General features: G+C 37.6%; 1 protein-coding gene across 12 annotated transcripts in view, besides 1 other annotated feature; it reads left to right on the forward strand.

Moving 5' to 3' along the window:
• Positions 1-24,674, forward strand: part of PARD3B (par-3 family cell polarity regulator beta) — a 1,074,688-nt gene that overhangs the window by 277,524 nt on the left and 772,490 nt on the right. The gene's annotated exons all lie outside the window — the stretch shown is intronic.
• Positions 2,112-2,705: an enhancer, noted in NCBI's record as "NANOG hESC enhancer chr2:205689833-205690426 (GRCh37/hg19 assembly coordinates)". NCBI's record gives its function as "activates a minimal SCP1, AML or CMV promoter by ChIP-STARR-seq in naive H9 embryonic stem cells {active_cell/tissue: H9 hESC(naive)}" and the evidence as "EXISTENCE:reporter gene assay evidence [ECO:0000049][PMID:30033119]".

The raw sequence follows: 24,674 nt of genomic DNA on the forward strand, positions 1-24,674 counted from the left end.
GGGGGACACTTCAAGTTGCTCATCATTTCCCACAGCCAGCTTTCCCTCTGGAAATACAAGGTAGTCTTGTATTTACCTGTGTTCCTGTGCTGCAGAATGACGGGTCTTGCAGATTTGTTATAGGACAGTTGGTTATCTTGTGCTCTTACTTTAACTGATTGATTGTCAACATAAAGATTTCTGGGGTTAGTGAAAGAACAAAGAAAAAGGGTGTGTGTTATGGTGAAATATTTAGGAACTGTTATGGACTGCCACTTATTATTTTATTGAAAAAATAAGTGTCATTTATATATTACATGTACTATTATTTTATTGAAAACATGAGTGCCATTTATATATTACATTATTTTCAATAAAATAATGCTCTCATTTTCAATAAAATAATATATATTATTTTATTAAAAAATGAGTGTCATTTATGTATTACATGTACTATGGTAAATATGGAGATGAAAGGTAACAATTCTGCCTTCATGGTTTTTATAGGCTACTGGCTACATACATAAGTATAATTCATACAGGGTAAGAAATAGTATGAGGCCCTAGGTACTGCTTATTGAGATGCTTGTGGATGCATACTGGGGAGCTGTATTCTGCTTATTGGCACTGATACTTATTTCCTTATTAATATCAGAAAAATATAGAACTACATTGGGGGTGGCTGGGCACAGTTGCTCAAGCCTGTAATCCCAGCACTTTGGAAGGCCAAGGCGGTTAGATCACCTGAGGTCAGGAGTTCAAGACCAGCTGGACCAGTATGGTGAAACCGTTTCTCTACTAATAATACAAAAATTATTCAGGCATGGTGGCACATGCCTATAATCCCAGCTACTTGGGAGGCTGAGGCAGGAGAATCGCTTGAGTCCAGGAGGCAGAGGTTGCAGTGAGCCGAGATCACACCTCTGCACTCCAGCCTAGGCACCAAAGTGAGACTCAGTCTCAAAAAAAAAAAAAATACATTGAGGGTAGCAAGAGTTAAAAGGGAGAAATAATAAAAATGAAACAGCTATAAGAGGAGGAAGGAAGTTAGGGGTGGGAGTTCTGAAGATAAAGCACTTCTCTAATAATCTGAGCTCCAGATGAAAGCACAGTGAGCAAGAACAGTGCAAGGTTTCAAGGCATCAAGTTGTCAGATATCTTTCCTTTCCCCTCCAAACCAGCTGTCTGTCACTCTCTGCTCTCATCTGTACACCCAGGGACTGATATGTTATCCTCTGGCTTCCAATTGCATTTGGCCAATGGAGAATCCTACAAGTACACTGGAGAGGAGAGGAGAGTGAAAATATATTATTTTTATCTTGGAGCCTCTGCACAGCTGCAATAAATAGGCTGGCTGTATCCTTCTACCAAAGATCACAGCTCAAACTAAGGTAGCCCTTTCTCCATCTCTCTGCTTGCTAGTTCTGGGAACACTTGCATCTTCTTGCTTCTTTAGGAATAGCTCAGTGGCTCCTAGCTCTGGTGTACTGCTTATTACCTTGTTGGCATAGTCCCTATATTAAGCCCTCCTTGAACTATCTCTATTTGAGTACATCATATGCTTCCGGACTGGCACATTGAGAAAATAGAGCTGCCAGAACTTCTCCATCACATAGTCTTCTTCCCACTTCATTTTATGAGTGATGAAAAGGAGGCCAGGGAGAGAGTAGCTTTTCCCAAATATTTAAGTAAAGACTAGTGTGGAATCTAGACATGCCATTTCCTAGTCCTCCCAGTTCTAATTTCCCACTTATTTTGAAATTTTGTAAATATATTTCTATTTAGTTTCCCACTTCCAAGGCTTCTAATGCTGAGGCTGTGAACATTCCTACAATCAGGTTTTGAGCTTATAGAAATAAATGAAGACGCTGGCCCACCTAAGGGGAACAGAGGCTTTTTATTCAGAGCTGGCTGTAGCAAAGGAGTGAGCCACCATCACATGCTCTGGGCGGCGTATGTGTTCTCATTGGTGGTTGCTGCATGGTGAAGCTGGAGCAGGCTAACTAGAAGTGAGGCATCTAATTTGATTGGTTTAGGGAGCATATGTTTTTTTTCCTGGTTGGTCCTGAGTTGGAACCTGGGGCAAAAAATTAGAGAAGCAAACAGTCATTGTCCAAGTCCTGACTGTTCTGAGCTGATTATTGCAGAGCATATGGGTCAGAGTTCTACTGTCATATATGATCTAGCTGTTATCTGTTCGTGTAGTCAGTGCGTCAAGCATGAAAGCAGTTGATTTGCATTCCAGCTTTCTTACTCATCATCTGAAGGAACCTGGGCCATTGAATAGCACACTAATTATAATGTCCCCAGGGAGAGTTCAGGATCTCTAGAAGGAGAAAGTGTGGCTCTCTAGAGGAAGTGATGGTAGAATTGGGAAGCACACAGTGGGAGGCAAATGTTGCACAGCTTGGAGCAGTTCTTTTGACAGTCTCCTAGATGAAGGCAAATAGGGACAGTGCTTGCAGGATTTGAGGTCATTCATATGTATTTGTGCCTTGGGGATATAGGTTTGCCACAGCCGACTTTCTTCATAGGAGCTTTGTCAGTCATTAGCATGACTAGGCTACAACTTCTTTGCGAGCTCTTTCATTGCACATAGCAGCAATATTTTCAGTGAAGACTAAACAGAAAACTTTATTCTTACCTGAGGATCTGGCATTGGAGAGTGGCCACCACATGAGTCAAGCACCAAGTTAGGTGAAATTCTAAATTCGATTCTCCTATATATAGTTTCCCAGTAATTATCCACTGAAGTTACAGTGAGCTTCAATGGAGCGAGTTCTTGAAAAAGGCCCTGTCTTCATCTCATCCTAATCCAGCTGAGGATGCAGAAATGCAGCTGTTGTGTATAGAGTAATTGGTTTCTTCAATTCTTGTGAAGTCTTGGCTCCTACTCTACCTAGATTTTCGTTGTTTTGGTTGTTGAATCACTTCCCTTTTTCACAGTATCTTATATACCTTAGCCTGAGATTGGCTGTGTGATGATCCTAAAGGCTCAACCTCCTTCGTAGACTCACTCCCACTGCACGGGAGTCTCCAAAGTGACTCCACTTCCACTTTTATTGCTTTTTCTGAGGAAATTCCAGGCATGATAAGTCAAATGAGAAATTTAATTTGAGAGGAAAAGAGGGAGGAGAGGAGCCTCTGAAATTACCTTTACAGTCTTATAATAACCTTGAAAAGTATTATATAGTTTGGGGGCAAAAGGAGCTGACCCTTATCTCTTATCATACTTGATTAGGTCTCTGTCTGAGGTTTCCAGGAGTTGTACCTCCATAGCTAGTGCTGCGTGCTCTTATAATGGAGCAGAGGTACTGTTGTTTGGGACTTAATACTCAGAGTGAACTATTGACTCAGGATAGGACCAATTGCCGCCATTGTTCTTCTCCAGCACTTGGTAGAGACAGGGATTCTAAGCTGTCAAATTGGGATAAGTTGGATTTTAATTCTATTCAGTAGGGCACAATTCATTGCCCTGTGATTTCCTAGGGGCAAAAAATGAGTCTGTTTTTATGTATCTATGGACTACCACAATAATTTACATAAAGATATTCAGATATTTATTGTTACTTTTCTAACCAACATGTTAAAAAGTTACTTATGATAGCTATCCAAAAAATTGCTGATTGATAGATAGTATCTTTTCTCTGGAAATAGGTTGAATTTTTAAAAATATTTTTATTTCCACATATATATGTGAAAACAAAAAGTAGTATCACATCTTTCATTTTGTTTTTGTTTACTTGAAAGTTGCATTCTCGGCTGGGCATGGTGGCTCATGCTTGTAATCCAAGCACTTTGGGAGGCTGAGGTGGGAGGATGGCTTGAGGCCAAGAGTGGGAGACCAGCCTGGGCAACATAGCAAGACTCTTTCTCTACAAAAATTAAAAATATTAGCCAGTCATGGTGGTATGTGCCTATAGTCCTAGCTACTCTGGAGGCTGAGGCAGGAGGATCACTTAAGCCCAGGAGTTGAAGGCTGTAGTGAGCTATGATCATGCCACTGCACTTTAGCCTGGGTGACAGAGCAAGACTCTGTCTCTTCCAAAAAAAATCTATATTCTCATAGGTTTTCGTTCTTGTTCTACAATGTGAAGCTCATTGAGTTTTCTAGTGGTTGATCTTATGTGTTTATATTTGCTCAGAAAATAAAAACTAGAAAATGTGACTGTCATTATTTGTGTAAAATTTGAATAAAGCAACAATCCATATTAACAGTTATTGAAATATTGTGTATTGAACCAGTGTTAGCAATCCAGCATTGGCAACATCCTACTTTATTTATTTATAAGTTTTTGCAAATCAGTATAGTGATAGAAATGCATGAAATTACAATACTTGGAGAACTTTTTATAATAGGGAAAGAAGCTAGTGACAGAGGTGAGGATTTGTTCATGTATTACATGAAAATATTAATTTAATTGGTTTCCTTTAAAACTTTTGTATAAATGGCAGTGATAGTTACAGAACTAGGAAAGATAGTTCATGCTTAAAGAGATCTGGCCTTCTCTTTTGTTAATGAATGACTTTAAAGTTGAAATTTGCATTAAGAATATTAATGTGATAATTTTCAAAGTACCCATTAGTCTAACACTTTTAGGATAACAAAACTAAATTCTAATGAAGTTGACATGTGGAAGAACAGTGGTAGGTATTAGGAAAAAGTAATCTGGTCACAATAAAAATATGCTTTTGCTCGAAAATCTGTCAAGATAAATTCCAAGCACTTCAAAAAATGCATGTTAAATGTGCTTTACTACAGTTTTGAAATAGATTAAAATTATATGCAAATTAATGCAAATCATGTGGCTTCAAGATTAAGTTTTGAAGTGCTATCTTCGTTCCCTGGAGTAAATGGCTGCTGAATGAATAGATGCATAAATATCTGACTGGATGACTGGCTGAATGAATGAATCAGTTTTTCACTTGGAAAGCTGTTTCATTCTCTTCTCTGCCAGAAGCCCAGTTTTATGATCTTATTCAAAATAGAATCTGGGAGGTGGGCGGTTGTAACTCAAAGATTAGCCTAATCAATCCAGTTCAACCCAGGGGACACCATCTGCCCCGGTCCAGTGTAGAGCGTAAAATGTAGTGCATCTGAACTACAAAGGAAGAATGTCATTTCCTCAGCACTCATTTGTTGAATAGGTATCTACTGAGCACGTATTGGGAGCCATGCCTTATTTCTGATGCATCACAGTTAACCTCTAAGCAGCAATTGCTATTGTTTTTGATGTTCATTCTTTCTTGAAATTTCCTCTTCTCTTGAATTCTGCCATATTTCATTTTCTTCCCTTTCCTTCTACTTCTGTAAAATTTGCTTCCTTTCAATCTCCTTTTCTGACCTTGTTCTGGGAGTTCCCTGAGGCTCAGTTTTTGCCCTGTGTTCTTTCTCTGCTCCAGTGATTCTCAACCCTGGCTATGATCACAGCCTCTGAGGTGAGGCCCCAAGCATAGTCAAATATTAAAAGCTCCGTAAGTAATTCTTATTCGCAGCTAGACTTGAGAGCCTTTTTTATACCATAGTCCGGGGAATTGTTTGTGTCTCAAAACTTTACTTACGTCTCTGCTGATTAGTGTCATACCACTATCTCCTTTCACTTAAGTGCCTGCTCTGTGCCCCTGCCTAACCAAGAAGATATTTCCATTTAGAAATACCATTCCCCTGGTTTATCTCCAAAATATCTTTATATCCTGATTTTTAATTTATTCTTTAGTTCTAATCTGAGGAAGATTAATCTTTGATCTTTCTTTATTTCTTGATTCAATCTCTTTTGCATAGTATGACCAAATTAATACTAGCCTCATCAAAGAGTTAGCTACTCTTTTGCCCCAAATCCTTTTGGCTCTCCATTGTCTGCAGGGTCAAATTGAAAATCCTTATCATGGAATATGAAACTTAAAATTCTAGACCCACAGATCAGCTTCCTTACAGAACATCTCTTTGAGACTTTTGTAAAATATAAGGGCCTGTGCATTCCAGCCTTCTGCATGAAGTCTTTCCTGACTTCAAGGTCCATGGTCACCTGTTCCCTCCAAGTCTTATGGATAGTGCTGTAAACTGTGTTATATCATGTAACTGTTTCATTGAAGTTTGGTAACCACCTGTAAGACAAAATCCTGACTGATCTTGTTCTGAAACATAACTGTGAATATGTACTTATATTGAGAAGTGAGCTATATGTTATAGCAGCAATGTAAGGAATACTAAAAGTGCACATAGCCTATTGTAAATTCTATAAGTTCATAGTTAACCAACATTTACTGAATGACTATTATGTGCTAGGAACTTGCTTATTCTTACTGTCTTATTTTGTCTTCATGTAAAGTGGCATTATCCCAATTTTAAATGAGAAGACTGAGTCCTAGCAACTTTAATCAGCTTTCTTCAATAGAAAGTTATGACTGGGATCCCAGTTTGATCTTCAGAGTTCAAATCTTGTACTTTGTCTCCCTAATTCAGTAAGCTCTTAGGAGAGAGGGCATTTTCTTTTCATCAAACTCAATGACATAGGAGGTAGCCATTAATATGTTAGTAAATAAAGTGAGAGAAGGATCCTAGGATGATACGGTTTGGCTTGGTGTCCCCACCCAAATCTCATGTTGAATTGTAATCCCCAGTGTTGGCAGAGGGACCTGGTAGGAGGTGATTAGATCAGAGGGGTGGATTTCTCCCTTGCTGTTCTAGTGATAGTGAGTGAGTTCTCGCAAGATGTGGTTGTTTAAAAATGTGTAGCACTGGCCGGGCGCGGTGGCTCACGCCTGTAATCCCAGCACTTTGGGAGGCCGAGGTGGGCGGATCACGAGGTCAGGAGATCAAGACCATCCTGGCTAACACGGTGAAACCCCGTCTCTACTAAAAATACAAAAAATTAGCTGGGCGTGGTAGTGGGCGCCTGTAGTCCCAGCTACTTGGGAGGCTGAGGCAGGAGAATGGCGTGAACCCGGGAGGCGGAGCTTGCAGTGAGCCGAGATCGCGCCACTGCACTCCAGCCTGGGCGACAGAGCGAGACTCCGTCTCAAAAAAAAAAAAAAAAAAAAAAAAAATGTGTAGCACTTCTCCCTTAGTGTGCTCTCTCTCCTGCCACCATGTGAAGAAGTGCTTCCTTCCTCTTTGCCTTTCTACCATGATTGTAAGTTTCCTGACTTCCCAGCCATGCCTGCTGTGTAGCCTGTGGAACCGTAAGTCAGTTAAACCTTTTTTCTTTATAAATTACCCAGTCTCAGTAGTTCTTTATAGCAATGTGAGAATGCACTAATACATAGGATAACTGGATTTACCAGATCCCTCTCCAAAAGTCTTTCTAGATTTGGTCCCAAGTAGAAGGCCTGCCGTTGGCCAAAAATCAGCTTTCAGTGGTGGATTGCTGTTAGAGTTGTTTAAGTAATACCTTGCTCATAGGGCTGATGCTGAAAATATTCTAAAATTATTTGTGCTATTTAGCTATATTAAGATACCTTCAGGAATTCATTTGATGTGATCTTACAATTGTAGGAGAGGAGAATTGAGGAAAATTAGCATAATGTTTATATAGTGAAGAAGATTAATGTATGGACACCTGGCATGTATATTTTCTAAGAAACTATTTTAATGAACTGGAATTTGAACCCTGCCATTGTTACTTAAAGATTCAGACTAAGAAATGCTATAAGACCAAGCAGACCAAGTTTGTTTCCTTCAAAGGGAAAGAAGATTAGGGAACTCTCTATTCTCTCCTATCACTGTCTCTGACGTGGGAATGAGACCAGTTCCTATGATAACAGCTGTCCAGCTTGGAGGAACTTTCTGTTCCAATCTTTAGGGAATAGAAGACCATGGGTACTCTGTAGTTAGAGAGAAGGGAATTTAGCCCAAGGGAGGAGAACACTTATTCAGAAGATCATTGTCCCATTAGGTCTCTGATATATGTGTAAAGTACATTTTCTGATTTAGATTTGGTAAGCAAATGTGCTTTAGAATAAAGAATTTAATCCCAACTATCATTGCTGGCATGTACCTATTATACTATAAAATGATATCTCCTTTTATTATCTAAATAACTGAGTAAATTGAATGCTTATATTTTTATTAATTGAATAAATAATAGGCTTCACCTATAAAAGTAACTAAATTCTGTTGTCTGAACTCTTCTTTATTGCTAAAATTTAGCTTAATAGCTTTGTTTTCTTAGATACTATGTTATTTAAATTTTTTGCTTGAACTTTTCTATGAATAGAAAAATTAGGAGTAGGAAGCAGAACTTCAAAGGGAAATGTAATTTTACTCTTTTAGCTGCATTGCTGAGATCAAAAGCATTTGAGAAGTGACCTAGGTGGCCATTACACGTAATTGGAAAAGAAGTACAATTTCTTATTACTGCATCTAAAAATGAGGACAACATTCTTTAAATATCACGCTTATATAAAAACTTGCAGAAACTCAATCCACATGTCTTAATTAGAAGCCACCATAAAGAAAGACATTTCATTGTTTTAATAACTTATGTTCAGAAATAAAACTGCTCTTACTTAAGCACTGCTTAGCAGAAACGTTAAAATCAAGTCTAGAGAAAAAGTAGAAGATGGTAATGTTCCTAAGATACATGAGAACTGAGTTTGGTTACAGTTAGAGAGAAACAGAATTTTTTCCACTCCCAAACCAGATCTATTGAATTTACTTGGTTTATTTTTGTATATATTTGGCATCTAAAGAATGAATTGCCTTTTAGACAAAACCCTTCTCGTAGTTGTTTCTTTTGTATTAATAGTTCCTACTTTGCACTAATAGGATATTCCTATTTGAAAGGGGACTATTGCAAACAACAGGAATGTATGAGTTTTATGAGAAAAGCTTCCAGATTTTTTTTTATACAATATAAATGAATTACTGAACAGAGTTTGTGACAATGGGTATATGAACTCCTGAGTATATGCAGATACTAACTGGGAGGGCCACAAGTAGAATGTTCAGTTATTTTATTCACCTTAAAAAATAGATATCCACGCCTGTAATCCCAGCACTTTGGGAGGCCGAGATGGGCGGATCATGAGGTCAGGAGATCGAGAGCATCCTGGCTAACACGGTGAAACCCCATTTCTACTAAAAATACAAAAACAAAATTAGTCAGGCATGGTGGTGGGCGCCTGTAGTCCCAGCTAGTGGGGAGGCTGAGGCAGGAGAATGGCATGAACCTGGGAGGCAGAGCTTGCAGTGAGCTGAGATCACGCCACTGCACTCCAGTCTGGGCGACTGAGCGAGACTCTGTCTCAAAAAACAAACAAACAAACAAAAACAAAAAAAAAAGCTATCATATTCTGGACCAACTGGATGATTTTTTAGTGTACTTCCTCAAGATTTTTGCGTTCATGCTTGCTTTTCTGTTTAAAATCAGTGCTATAGTAGTTGATTTTTTTTCTGTATGGACAAGAATGAAATAATCATTGACATATAGAAAAGTGAAGGAACATTGAATCATCGCATGGTGTATACCTTCTCGGTCTGTAGCATGTTCATGTTTAAGCCACTGAACTTGACACTGTGAGACAGTGAACATGCAACACTGAAAGAACAGCTGGATAAAGCAAAAGGGTGTGGCAAATCATGCCATACTTAGGAACAGCTGTGCAGAAGGAGGTGCAGTGGACATAAGAGAAGACTGGCATGGGAGACAAGGTGAGTGGAATCTGCAAGAGCCAGTAGATTCTTGGCTGTGATGGGTACGCTGGGCTTGAGTAGTGAGGAACCTCTTTAGGTCTCAGATAGGGCTGTGGCTGAAGCGTAGTTGTGTTCTGGAAGTATTGTGGGTTTTTCTCTCCCTCAGTGTAGTAGTGCATTTCCTATTCAACGACACCTCCAACTGATAGGTATTAATTGTCTTAAAAAATAGAAAAAAACAACTATAGTTCTTACTTACATAGCACGGTATGCTGGGCACTATAAAGAGAAAATGAACGCCTGGTCCCTATCATTAAAGAACGAATATGCTTTGAAACTCAAGAACTGTACAGATGTAAGGTAGCATTATTATTGTAATAAAAGAAAAAGCGTTGTTCTAAGCAGGCAGTTAAACATACAGAAGAAAATTTATAACATTGAAAATACCCTGAAACTCTAGCTCGTTACCTAACAGTGATTTCATTTATTGTGAAAAATGGCGAATGCAAATTGCATGCCTTATTATGGTGTCATCATCAGCAATTTCATCTTGCAAAAATGGACACCACACTATAGATAAATCTTGGAGTCCAAGTATTCAGCATTTAAAGTGTTTGTCAGTATTCACTGGCATCTTTGAATGTTATAGCTGGGGAAACGTTTAGATAACCCTTTGTTTTTCTCACACCATTGAAAAAAAGGTAAAGAGACATTAAAGAGTAGCCCCACATTTCTTGACTGTTAACACAGCAGAGCCAGAACTCCCTGTAAAGACTCTGCTTCCCAGATCAATATTGGTGGTGGTTTAATTTAACCCAGACATCTCTTGACTTATGCCCCTTCTGATTGAAACCCTTCGATATGGTTTGGCTGTGTCCCCACCCAATTCTTATCTTGAATTGGAGCTCCCACAATTCCCATGTTTCCTGGAAGGGACCTGGTGGGAGGTAGTTGAATCATGGGTGTGGGTCTTTCCTGTGCTGTTCTCCTGATAGTAAATAAGTCTCAAGAGATCTGATGGTTTTATAAAGGGGAGTTTCCCTGCACAAGTTCTGTCTCGTCTGCCAGCATGTAAGACATGCCTTTTGCCTTCCGCCATGATTGTGGGGCCTCCCCAGCCACGTGGAACTGTGAGTCCATTAGATCTCTTTTTCTTTATAAACACCCAGCCTCAGGTATGTCTTTGTTAGCAGTGTGAGAACTGACTAGTATACCTTTTCAGTGTCTTACCATTTGCTTGAAATAAAGTCCAGGGCCGTTAACGTGACCCACAAGCCCGGAGTGTCCCAGCCCCACCTACCTCTCCAAATTCATCCCTGCCATTCTTCCCCTGCTCCCATGCCACAATCGCAGAAGCCTGTCTTCGTTTCTTCCAGCCCAACAAACTCCCATGGCAGGAATGTTGCAACTACTTCAACTGGTCCCCATTCTTCACCTGGGATGACACCCTTCTGCTCTCATATGCAATATTTTTTTTTTAGGAACTACCTTGGCATTTCTTGACCTTTCCAACTAAACCAGCTCTCTCTGCACTTATAATTTATAACATTGTTTTCCTTTGTGGTATCTCTGATTGTTTTTATGTATTTATTTGTGAATATTTGCTTTATGTGTTTCCTCAGCTGGTCTGTTCTCTTCATGAACAAATGTGTCAATTTTGTTCCTTGCTGTACACATAGTGCCCAGCACAGAATACAGACTCAATACATAAATATATATTGGTGTTTGGATGGAAGAGGAAGTAATAAGAATATGATTGTGATAATCACTGGAAATAGAAGTAATTTGTCAGTTTTACATGATTGAATAATTGAAGCAAATGTCTGCCAAAACAAGTTAGAATCCTGTAGAGGAGCTACATTATAATGGTATTGAGCAAAATATCTTTAGGTGAAGGTAGTATTATGTATTTCTGGGCATTACAAAAATATAAGCAGAAATATATTTTAAAATAATGAGATTTTAGAGTAGCATGTATATGTTTATTAATTATTATCCTCACTAGGAGATCAAAACAGTTGATTAAGAGGAATACAGTTCCACAATGGGAGAGCCATTTTGAGAATTAATAGACTGTAGCTGGCAAAAGGAAAATAGGAGTTAGAGCTTAGCAAAGGGAGAGGAAATTTCTTCTACCCCTATCCTCCCATAGTTCAGCAGCAGAGTGTTTATTAAACCAAAAGTGATCAAATCACTTTTACTGTGTCAGCGATGGGCTGAAAAAGGCACCTGCATTTCATGAATTGATGAGTAATTGTTTTTAGTCCTGATTCTAAGTACCCTGTTGATTGCAATAGTGTGATGTGGTTGAAAAAGCACTAGGTTTAGAGCTAGAACACCTGGATTTGAGTCCTAGTGTCACCACTTACCTTGTTCATTAGACCTGGTACAAGTCACTTAACCTCACTGAGGGTGATTTTGTTAATGAAATGGTACCCTGCAGGATTCTTGCATGTATCAAATAAGATAATTACAGGAAAGCTCTTGGAGAACTGGATGCAGTGCTGAAATGAGCTCTGTGGAGTCATGTATATATCTGTCTCTAAGTAATGCGCTTAATGCACTTTGTGCAGATAAGGGTGCTACACCCAGTCCTCTGATCTGGACAAGCTCACGTTCCACTGGGTAGATGAGATGCATGCTAAGAAATGTGTCTTGATGCAGAAATTATCACAATGCCACATACTTTGGGAATTTATAGATGTGGGGAAGAAGACTCCTTACTGAGATATCACTGAAGCATTTTTGGGGAAGAAATAGCATTTAACCTGGACCTTGAAACATGAGTATGGTTTCTATCTGACGTTCCATTTCTTGTTCCATTGATCCCTCCCTGCCCCTCCTTACCTCTCCTCCCCTCTCCTTATGCCTCTCTTCTCTTACCTACCCTTCCTGTCTTTATCCCCTGCTCCGTTTGCCACTCCCTTCCCCAAACTTGTATTGGGAAAGCAGTTTGATGGTTGGAAAGGGTGGTTTATTGATCTAAGATATGAATACCAGTTCAATTTTGAAATAAAATACAGATGGTCCCCAACTTAAAATGGTTTGACTTGAGATTTTTTGACTTATGCTGGTGTGAAAGCAGTACCTATTCAGTAGAAACCACACTTCCAGATTTGAATTTTCATCTTTTCCCAGGCTAGGAATATGTGGCGTGATCCTCACATGTGAGTTGTTCAAGACTTCATTATAAAATAGGTTTTGTGTTAAATGATTGTGTCCAACTGCAGGCTTATGTAAGTGTTCCAAGCATGTTTAGGCTAGGCTAGGCTAGGCTAAGCTATGGCGTGTTCTGTATGTTAGGTATATTAAATGCATTTTGACTTACAGTGGATTATCAAGATAGTAAGTCAAGGAGCATCTGTACTCCATTTATTGACACCCCATTTAAAAAAATTGTTAAAAACTATCAAACTATGAACATGAAGTGAAGGATGCATGTTTCGATGTAGTCTGAAATTAGCTTTCAACATGAATGAAGTGTTAGGTTTTAGCTTCGTGGGCAACTTTGTCTGATTTTCTTCCATTGACATAAAAATAGTCTCAGGCTTGTGTGGGAAAATTAAGTATATAGATACTATTGCATTTATCAAGGGAGATATAACTTGTGGATTCATTCTATAATGTTTTACAGGAGAATTTTTTTTATCTCAGAAATAAGAATTTTACATCTCTACAAGTAAATCAGAAATATAATTAGATACATAAATTCATAAACATACAAAATAGGTAAAATGATTATATGGATTTCTAAAAGTACCTTTAAATTGGCTGGGCATGGTGGCTCAGGCTTGTAATCCTAGCACTTTGGGAGGCCAAGGCACGTGAATTGCCAGAGCTCAGGAGTTTGAGACCACCCTGGGCAACATGGCAAAACCCCGTCTCTACTAAAAATACAAAAATTAGCTGGGTGTGGTGGTTCATGCCTGTAATCCCAGCTATTCAGGAGGCTGAGGCAGCAGAATCGCTTGAACCCAGGAGGCGGAAGTTGGTGCGCCAAGATCGTGCCACTGCACTCCAGCCTAGGTGACAGAGTGAGACTCCATCTCCGAAAAAATAATAATGATAAAATAAAATACCTTTCGATTATACTATAGAGCAAAAAAAATCGTGTAGGTGTGGATAAGTGAGTATGTATGTGAGTGTGCATGTGGATTTGCTTGTATGAAGACATGAAGAAAATACAAAGGGAAACTCTTATTTCTGAGAGGTAGGATTGTGGGTGAGTTTTTTCCTTTATGGTTGTTTTTATTTTAGATATTTTCTACAGTGATCATGTATTTTATTATAAAAGTGTTATAAAAATGAGTTTTTACATGCTATATAGAACTAAAAACACTTACAAATGCAAAAACATTATGTCTTTTGAAATGCAAGGCCTCTACAGAAACAGTATCCCTCCTGTTTTTAAAATCACACTTTTGATACCCAATGAGATAGTTCACCTTCGGTAACATGAGGCGTTTAATTAACATCCAGTGGGGTATGATTGGACCCCCTGATGTGTCATACTTTCACGTGAATTATTATCTTGCAACATACATTCTAGTAATAACAATGACGTTATCTAGTAAGTTTTCATAAATACTAAGACTATATAAAAATCTTAGCTTTTCCTCTTTATCTCTTAGACAGTACGTAGTTCAAAGTATACTTTTTACAAGAGCCCGTGTCTTCTAAAAATCTAGGGACATGTTAGAAATTAATGCATTTAGTTTACCATTTTTAAATAACTGAGTTTTATTTCATTGACATAAAGGATCCAAGATTTTAAGTGTTTGGATTTTATTCTCTTAAAAAATAAAAATTACTTTTTTTTTTTTTTTTGAGACAGATTCTTACTCTGTTGCCCAGGCTGGAGTGCAGTGGTGCAATCTTGGCTCACTGCAACCTCCTCCTCCCGGGTTCAAGCAATTCTCCTGCCTTGGTTCCCAAATAGCTGGGATTACAGGCACGTGTCACCATGCCTGGCCTGGTCTTTCTTAAAGAGGGCTTTCCCTGAGTGTATACATCCAGCTTTGTAAGTTGATGAATTTGGTTCTCAGTAAGTTTGTAAAGAGACCCTGCTGATGTCTGATCATGAGGAGCTCACTATTCTGTAGGAAAGACCATACCCTAGTTGGGCAGCTCTAATCATTTCGAATTTTCACCTGATTTCCGCCTCTCTGTAATTTCCAGCCCTTGGCCATATGTTGTTTTCTGGAATTCTAATGGATAAGACTATTTGCTCTATGAGATAACCCATCACATATTTGAAGACCACTATTTGTCCTACCTAACTTTTGTTTCTAAGGCTCACCCCAACAACCCACCCCCAGTTTGGTTCATTCAGCAGAACTATCTGGAGCACTGTGCCCTAAGCATTGGGGCTACCAAGATGACAATGATAACATCAAGGAGCTCACAGTATAATGGGGGGAGAGACAGATACATACACAGGTAAAATAAGTGCTGTAGAAGAGTGATCAACAAAGAGCTATGAAACCAGTAAGATTCTAAAAACTGACTTTGTGCTGAGCAAGAGGAGGCTTTTCAGAAAAGGTCAAGGTTGAATCAGGTTTTGTTTTCGTTATTATTATTATTATTTTTGAGAAGGAGTCTCACTCTGTCGCCCAGGCTGCAATGCAGTGGCACGATCTCGGCTCACTGCAACCTCCACCTCCTGGGTTCCAGTGACTCTCCTACCTCAGCCTCCCAAGTAGCTGGGATTACAGGCACCCGCCACCATACCTGGCTAATGTGTGTGTGTGTGTGTGTGTGTGTGTGTGTGTGTGTGTGTCTTTAGTAGAGACGGGGTTTTGCCATGTTGGCCAGGCTGGTCTCAAACTCCTGACCTCAGTTGATCCACCTGCCTCTACCTCCCAAACTGTTGGGATTACAGACATGAACCACCATGCCTGGCTGCATCAGGTTTTGAGTCAAATAAAATTTTTCTTTCAAAGAAGCAGAGGATGGAAGGGTATGCTGTGCAGGGCCATTTTTGAGCTATGGGTACACATATACAGTGTGATAGAAGAAATAAGACCTAGTGTTTGATAGAATCAGTAGGGTGACTGCAGTTTACGGAAATGTATATTTCACATAGCTATTAGAGAATAATTAGAATCTTTCTAGCATACAGAAAAGAGAAATATTTGAGATGATGGATATCCCAATTATACTTATTTGATCTTTAAAAGTATGAATGTATTAAATTATTACATGTAACCAAAAACATGTACATCTATTGTGTATCAATACACAATGAAATAAAAATTTAAAAAAACAACAAAATTGCAAGACGTTGAAAGGGCCTAACCTGGCTCCCTGAGTAAAAATTGTGTAAGAGGGTTCTAGGGTATCCTCTGTTCACTATGTGTAGATCATAAGTTGAGGAAAGAGATTTTAACCATGAAGTTAAAGTCATATGCTACACCAAAGTAAGCTAGATGTTGATTTGCCAAATCTGTAGTTAATTTATCTCTGCTGGGCTCCATTTAGGATTTGATTTTAAGAAGGGAGTTGTTTGCCATAATGTTACAAGGTCAGCCCTGTTCTGGGTTTCTATTAGCTACAGTTAGTGTTTTGGAGTATCAGAGAAACGGTGCTTCCTTATATTCAGCTCATGGCATCAGGAGGCACAAAATCTGTGCTTTTACAGCAGCATAAATTTCTCTGGTCAAGGTCAGTTGTGTTAGCAAGGCACATATCATCGTATCAATTTTACATTTTCTAAGTCATTTTGTAGACATTTTGTTGAGTAAAAGTATTCTCTTACTTCTAGTAAGGTAGTTTCAGGAAAACACTTAAGTATTATATATGTAAACCAAACAGACTTTTCCCATTGATTAACTGTATTTTCCATTTTGATTTTAGAAATGTTTACCTTAAGCCTGGCCACAGCTTTGTGGCGACTTCTTCAATGTACTCCCTGCCTCAATCTGATGTGGCCATGCACTCGAAATTCTTAACTTTCTATTTACTCTTTTAGAGAGAGATGATTTGTATAATCTTTCTCTTCTCCACATCCCACTGTTCCCTGTATGTCCCTCCTTTTCTCTTGTGCCTCATTTTGTGTGTGCATTTGACAACAAATGCAGGGAGGAAAACAAACAAACTGAGTATAATCAGCAAGAAAAAACATCATCTTATGAACTGGCAACCAAATTCTTCATGAAGAATTTGGTTTTTGAAGAACAACTGTTTTTGTTCAAGATAATACTTTGAAAAAAGATTTGTCATAGAAGTTTAAAAACTTGAATAGACAGCTCTCATTGTCTGTAAGGCTAGGTTTCTGCGGCTTTTAATGTGTAAGAGACTTGTCCCATTTAACAATAAATATTTTAGTGCCACTTAAAAGTATAATTAATATATCTTTCTTAAAAGTGGTATTCCCTCCCTCTACGTATATTTCTCTTTCCTCAGCCCCAAAAGCACATATTCAGGGAGGGAAGGTAAGGGATTTACATCCTTTTTCCATCACTACGTCAAAACTTATACAATTTATACAATTTAATATTATTAAGGTAGTTAATGTAGCAGTTCATGTGAAGTTACTCAGTAGAAATACTTTAAATCATATAAAAATATAGCTGAATATAAATTGAAGGGTCAGAGATTAAGGGTGAAGCAAGTTTTAAAAATCAGAAGCATTTCCAAATTCAAGTTATTTGGGGTAGCTGTAGAGAAATAATTGAATGACCCTTAGCAATATTTTAGGAAAACTTTTACCTAATGAAAAATTCTACTCCAAAGCTGTGTTTTACTTCATAAAATTAATAGAAAGTGGGGAATATCTCTACACTTCCAATATCATGCTTTCCTTTAGTCCTAGTAAAAAGGGACCCAGAATCTTTGTTTTACCCTCCCAAATTACCCACTTTAATACGAATACATGAAAATAGATTTTAAAAAAGAAGTGAATAAAATAGATGAATTTGTCCTTTTTTTTTTTAACTATGGTCCTTAGACAATAGCTTTCAACTCTCCATAGAACTGGAACAACTTGCACGATGTTGACTACAGTAAGATAACAAAATTGTATATTGTATGAGGCAAATACGTGTGGTTGTCTTATCTAACCACAATGATAAGTACGGTAGTGTCATCCAGGGTTTCATCTTCTGCAGTTCAGTTACCTATGGTCAACCACGGTCGCAAAGTAGGTTGAGATCATTACAATGAGATATTTTGAAAGAAAGAACACTTTCACATACCTTTTACTGCAGTATATTGCTGTAATTATTCTTTTTCATTATTAGCATTGTTAGTCTCTTATTCTGCCTAACTGATAAGCTTTATTGTATGTAAGTATAGGAAAAAACATAGTGTATATAGGGTTTGGTGCTATTACCAGGGTCAGGCATCCACTAGGGGTCTGGAAACACATCCCCTGTGGGTAAGGGAAGACTACTGTACATAATTTGATTCTTTCTTTCTTTTTCCCAAATAGTGGTCATATTTGATCAGTCACCTTTGCTCATGAAGAGCACATTGGCAAGGACAACACAAAGAAGCTTGTTCTGCAACTCGGTTTTCTTATGTTAAATATTTAGTTTTCTGCTTGCTTCTTCTTATCTGTTTGTACTTGGTAAGGCTCCCTCCTTCTTATGTGATAGGTTGGATGCTGCCGGAGAGGTTACTAGTGCATGGAAGCTCCAAAACAGAGTGGAATGGAAAATTATAGCCTCAAGGGTATCCTTGGGAAGGAGCCAGACAAAAGGTGCATGCCCACATTGAGACAAAGCTAAAGCAAAACTACCAGGTGTTAGAAAACCCAGAGCACATATACAAGAACAAGGCAAAAAATTCCTGTTACTCTAACAGTATGCCTTACTTTTCTTTAATTTTACTTATTTGTAAAGTAGACAAATGCCCCTGTTGTGTCTTGTTGAGTTACAAGTGCAACAAGTAGCATTCTAGAGTGGGATGTTACTGTCAGTGCCTGTTTTGGGTCACTTTAATATACTGCTGTTTAATTGATTTTATATCTGAAGATGCAGGTCTTTAACATGGACAGATTTTCATAAGATCACTGGAATACTGGCTTTCTTTTGTTTTGCGATGAGGGCAAATTTTCTGTGGTTTATTTTTCCCCATTTCTGGTGAAAATAATATTCTCTTTTCCTCTTCTACAGGGAAGATGGCAGTTTCCTCAGTTAAACTTAGGATCTTTGTCCCTTTTAAATAGGCCATTGTATAAAATACAAATGATCAAAATTGTATCACAGTAATAATTAGCTAATTTTTTTGCAGAAGTTTTTTGGTGGGGTTTTTTTTTGGTGTCAACACAACTTTAAAATAACAAATAATAAGAGAAAACTTTTTAACATTGTAGGAATATGTGAAATTGAATAGCAAACTCAATTTAGATGAGTTCACATGAATAACATACTTCAGGTTGGTAATATTCCAGAAGGTTCAACTGCCTCATAGAAAATTAAATCTCTGAAAAATTCCCCGACTAAAAATCATTTGAAAATTCTAATTTTTTCTAATTATTTGGATTTTCTTATGTTAGATTTCATTTCATGGAAGGATATTGAGTTTGTGTATATTCCTGTGTGTGAACATGTGCTTGTGTGTGCTCTTAATAGCGGTTATTTTTCAAAGCAATAGTCTTTCAAGCCTTTCTCTAATCTCTCCAGCATCTAAAATGAGGTGATATAAAACTCCCAGGTGGGTACTAAATATTAGATTTGTTGACACCAGCATGGGTGCTTGAGTGGTAGTGGGAAAAAGAAAAATGATTGTCTAGAGTTTGTATGCTACAGAATTGAGGTGGTTTCAGCTGCTTTCATTTCCTTTAAAGAATAATATTGTTTTTTTCAAATGAGGAGGATTAAGTAAGCACCTTAAAAAAAGAGGAGCAATATATTGACAACATCTGGTATGAAGAGTTATTATAAAAGGTAAGAGGATCTGTGCCAGAAAAAGAATGGAGAGGGAGATTCTCTCTAATAAATAAATTTCTTTTAAATGTGCCTAAAACATTAAGGGGGTTTTTCCCATTTAAATTTATCTTTGAAAACTCCCTAGAGAAGGAGAGTGGTTTCTGTAACAGCTGGTTAGAATTGCTGAGCAAATGTCTGGAAAAGATGATTTTGAAACAATGTGTTTTGTAATGTTTAAACATTTTACATTTTTGTTGAAACCTGACTTCTGATGAAGAAAATCGCTCTGTACAGCAGGCCTGCGCTGTGGGCTGCTTTTCTGCTTTCTCTAGAGCTGAGTCACTGAGGACTGCTACCTTAGCTCCTCAAAGCTGTTAAATTTCTCGAAGGGAAGCTGAGTCATTAGGAAATGTACCAGAATAGGAGAAAGTAGGTCATTTTGCTAGACTTGGCAAAACTTTCATCAGCTTCAGATTCGCAAGATCTGCAGTTCTCAAACTCCAGGGTTAATCAGAATCTCCTGGAGGGCTTATTCAAACATGCGTGTCTGGGCCCTCCTGGCAGAGTTCCTGATTCAGTAGGTCTGAGCTGAGCCCCGAGGATCTGTATTTCTGACAGGTTCCTAGGTGAAGGTGATGCCGCTAAACCTCGGCCCATACTTTGAGAATTGTTACACTAGTGAAAGCTTGGAGAGAAAAAAAAAATTAGACAAGCCTTCCCCAAAGGTTTGGCAGTCAGCTTCATAGTTGGATGGAGGAGGACACTACCATTTATTAATCACTAGATACTGTCCCAGTCTTGACATTCAATCTTCCATCCAATTCTGTAACATGAGTCATGGTATATCTATGCTGCATAATCATCTGTACAGAACTCACAGAACTCAGTTAGTTTGTTTCCTTCCTCTTCTCTCCTCTCCTCTCCTTTTTCTTTTTTTTCTCCATTGCCCTGGCTGAGGTACAGTGGCGTGATCTTGGTTGACTGCAACCTCCACCTGTGGGGTTCAAGTGACTCTCCTGCCTCAGCCTCTTGAGTAGCTGGGACTACAGGTTCACACCATCACACCTGGCTAATTTTTGTATTTTCATTAGGGACGAGGTTTCGCCATGTTAGCCAGGCCGGTCTCAAACTGCTGACCTCCTCAGCTTCGCAAAGTGCTGGGATTACAGATGTGAGCCACCGCGCCCAGTCCAGAACTCAGTTTCCATAATCAACCTGCCCAGAGTTTAAAGCCAGAGAAGCAGGTGCATCTGAATTTCTGCCTTTGTCTGTTTAGATCTAAAGGTTCAACTCTTTCTATCAAAACATACTTTTGTACTTGTTCTCAACGTGTCTTTATTTCCTCTTCTTTTTCATTCATACATGTTATTCAGAGGATCTCAAAATTCTTTGGAGTTTTACAAAGGAAAAGTTCAATTTCCAAAATTTTTTTGCGACCTGACATCCCCTACTATCAGGTAACACTAATTTATTTAATATTGACTTTGCTTATGAGTAATGGCAATGCACAAAGCTGATGAAAGCCGAAATTCCATCAGATGGATTTAGCAAATTAACAGGAGAGAGAAACTACTTAGTTTGTGAGAAACTACTCGTTTGTAAACTATGCAAAAAGGATAGACATTGTCTTACCTAATCACAAATAAGCCTTTCCCAAAGGAAGTGGTTACCTTTTAAATGTGTGCACTTATGTTTGTTTTTAATCCAAATTTGTGCCAAGGAATTATGTAATTATTATTTCTGTACAAAAGTTACTTAGCCATTCCTAAATTATCATTCATTGATGTCTGAGAGTAAATAATTTTAGTACCACTACGATTAAATTGTAGCAGGAAAAAAAACTATGAAATAGACTCATTCTGAGTCATTGCTTATAGCCATTTAAAGTTGATTAGCAATGTTAGTTTAGGAGATGTAAAAATGCAAAATTTTATTTTTAAGTTATAATATTTTAATTTGTAATTTCAATGAGCTATAAAGGAATGTTTATATTTATGGAAACTCTATGAAATATAAAGAAATGCTCTCACAGATGTCATTTTAGATATATTAAGTCTGCTAAATTCAAATAAAAGTTTTGGTACTAACGTGTGAGCACCTGGATGGCGGGGGCTGGGTGTTATATATTTTTACATCGAAGATGAAGTCCTGCATAGTGACTTGCATGTGAATAGGAGTCAGGAAGCATTGACCAAATGATAAAGCATTGCTCCAGCTGAGTTACAGGCCTATTCTTTTTAGCTCAAATCAACCCATTAAATTATTTGTGAGATAAAATTTTTCTCAAGTGTATTTTTCCAATAAGAACTTGAAAAAGTTGTACGTTTTATTTTATTTGAAAATGTATTAATAACTTTACACTATTGACTTTCTCCTTTCATATATTTTTAAATATGAGAAGGCTATTATCTGTTTATATGTGATTATATTGCCATTTGGCCTCAATTGCTCTTACTCTCCTCCCCCACTGGGCCACATTTCTAGGTCAAATTATTAAGGGAAAAAAGATGCAGGATTTTCAAGATATAACCTCTCACAGAGTATATATCTTAAAAGAGGAAAATGTATCCTGCACGCTGAGGATTACCTATGGCTAAATGAGAGTTGAAAATAGAAGCATGTGTTAAACTGGAAGTCAATTTGAGAGAATGTAATAGAGGACAGTCTGACAGGTGTTAATGTTACCCTCAAAGGGAATAAGCTGGAAGCTATAAAAAGTGTATGTAGCCACCACTCATTATGATACATGATATTCTTGCTGACTTGAAGTAGGAAGATGAAAATAACTAGTTTGTTTAAAGCTGCATATTCTGATAATTTAGGATTTAACTTTCTGCTTTGAACAACTTTTTCATGTGGAAAACCTTAACTTTTTATAGGTATAATTTGTTATTTTTAATAATGCTTATAAAAGTTTTTTTAAAAAGTAAGCTGTATTGTAGAAATCATCAAATACCAACTAGAATTATATTTTAATATTTTATAGATTTTACTCATAGAGTAAAAATTACATTGTTAGATATGTAAGGGGTGGTAACACCTTTTAAAAATCTTGGTTGTCCTTGTTTGTTCTGTAGTTTATGAAAAACAGAGATTCTAAAGATTGCACCTATGCATGAAATCTGATTTGCTCTTTTGTGCAGTATAAGAGTATGGCTGATTTCTTTCAATTCTGAGAACCTTACATAGGAGACCCCAACCTCTACATAGGTTACAAGTGAATAGACTCTGATTTCCGTTGATTTTATTTCATGTAAAACTATAACCTTCACAACTACACATCAATCTCAAACTTCTTTGAATGGCTCACTACTTAAAAGTCATTTTTCCCTAAATGATATGTATAGATATAAGTGATCTGAAAAATATTTTCAAGATTTTATTGTCCTTCTTACCTATATGCAGAATTGACATATATGCCTATATAAAAGTGGAAAATCTGTATATGATGAAACACCATACGTAGTTAAAATACAAGAGCCAGATTGAGAAAGAATATCTGCAGATTGGGAATAGAATAATTAATGGTCAAAGGATTGGTATCTTGAATATGAAGAAAAGTTTCTATAAATCCAAATAGAAAAACAAATGAAGAAAAGGAAAAAAAATGCAAAGGTTTTGAATAATAAGTTTACAGAGGAAAGGAAGGGCAAACATTGACAAGATGCTCATGCTCACTGTCTAGGAATTGGTAATTAAAAGAAAATGCTTTCTTAAGATTGGTAAAATGGATAAGGAGTGATAAGATAGATTCAGTGTTGGCTTTCTACACTGGTGTGGGAAGGCAGTTGCTCTTCATATTACCAATGGTGGGGATGGAAATTGCTAAAGCCTTTTTGGTAGGATAGTTTATGAAACAACTTTTAGAACTAAAAACAATGTGTAACTTTTGATCAGGCATTCAAATGCTAGGTATCTGTTCTAGAGAAATACATAGGCGTGTACACTGCAGAATTGTAATAGCTAAAATTAATCCCTAATTGTCATTGCTGTGGACACAAAGTTCATACGTTGAAGCATTAACCCTCAATGTGAGTGTAAGGAGTTAATTAAAGTAAAATAACTTTGTGAGGGTGGGGCCCTGATATGATAGGGTTAGTGTCTTATAAGAAGAGTTATAAGAGAACTTGTGCTCTTTCTGTTTCTCTCTCTTTCCCCAGCTATGTGTGTACAAGTACAAACAAGGTCCAGTGAGCACACGAGATAGCCAGGAGGCTTCCTATACCTGAAAGTATTTCTTAAGCCATTTTCTTCTTCGTACAGATGACACATTACCTCCTTGTTGGATGAATGCATTGCCTTCTTGTTGAGAAAAAAATTAATTCTTATACCAGGAGATTCCGACTGCCTGTAATGTGTTCAGTTCCCTGAATCACAGGGAATATGCCCAGTCCACCATTCCTTTCAAACTCATCCTCTGACTGTAGATGAAAGGAGATAATTAGAGTCGTAGACATTGGGATTGCTCTCTTATAAAATTTACTCTATATTTTAATATAGTCATATTTGAAGTGTGTTACTTTTATCATAATCTGTATATATGCTGGTTCAAGAATAGAGTAGTCATCACACAGATTAAGGAATAGACTATCGCCACGTATTTCTATATCCTGAAACTATATATTGTTTAGGTATGTTTGTTTCTTGAGGAAAATGTATAACAGCTATTTTTCTGTAACTTTCTTTCTTTTTTTTTTTTTTGCTAAGCATTGTTTATGTTTTAACTACGTTGATAGGAGTAGCTGCTGTCCTCTATTGCTATAACTATAGAACAGTGGTTTTCAAATGGCTTTGACTAGAAGCCACCATAAGAAATATGCTTAAATTGCAAATCAGTGTGTATACACATGCAGAATTGAAACAATTGAAATTTTAGAGTTAGCTTGTCTAGATTCATGAAAAAAACTGGAGAGTTTAACATGGCATAATTAATAAGGTCTTAAATAGTAAATACAGTTGTCCCCCTTTATCTATAGCTTCATTTTCTGTGGTTTCAGTTATCTGTGGCCCTAAAATATGAACTGAAAAATTCCAGAAATACACAATTCATATGTTTCAAGTTGCATTCCATTCTGAGGAGTGTGGTAAAATCTCGCACCATCTCACCTGGAGCGTGAATCATCCTTTTGTCCAGCCTTTTCACTGTCTGTAGGCTACCATCCATTCCACCTGCTAGCCTTCTAAGTCAT

The sequence above is a fragment of the Homo sapiens genome, chromosome 2 (genome assembly GCF_000001405.40).
Source record: "Homo sapiens chromosome 2, GRCh38.p14 Primary Assembly".
NCBI lineage: Eukaryota > Metazoa > Chordata > Mammalia > Primates > Hominidae > Homo > Homo sapiens.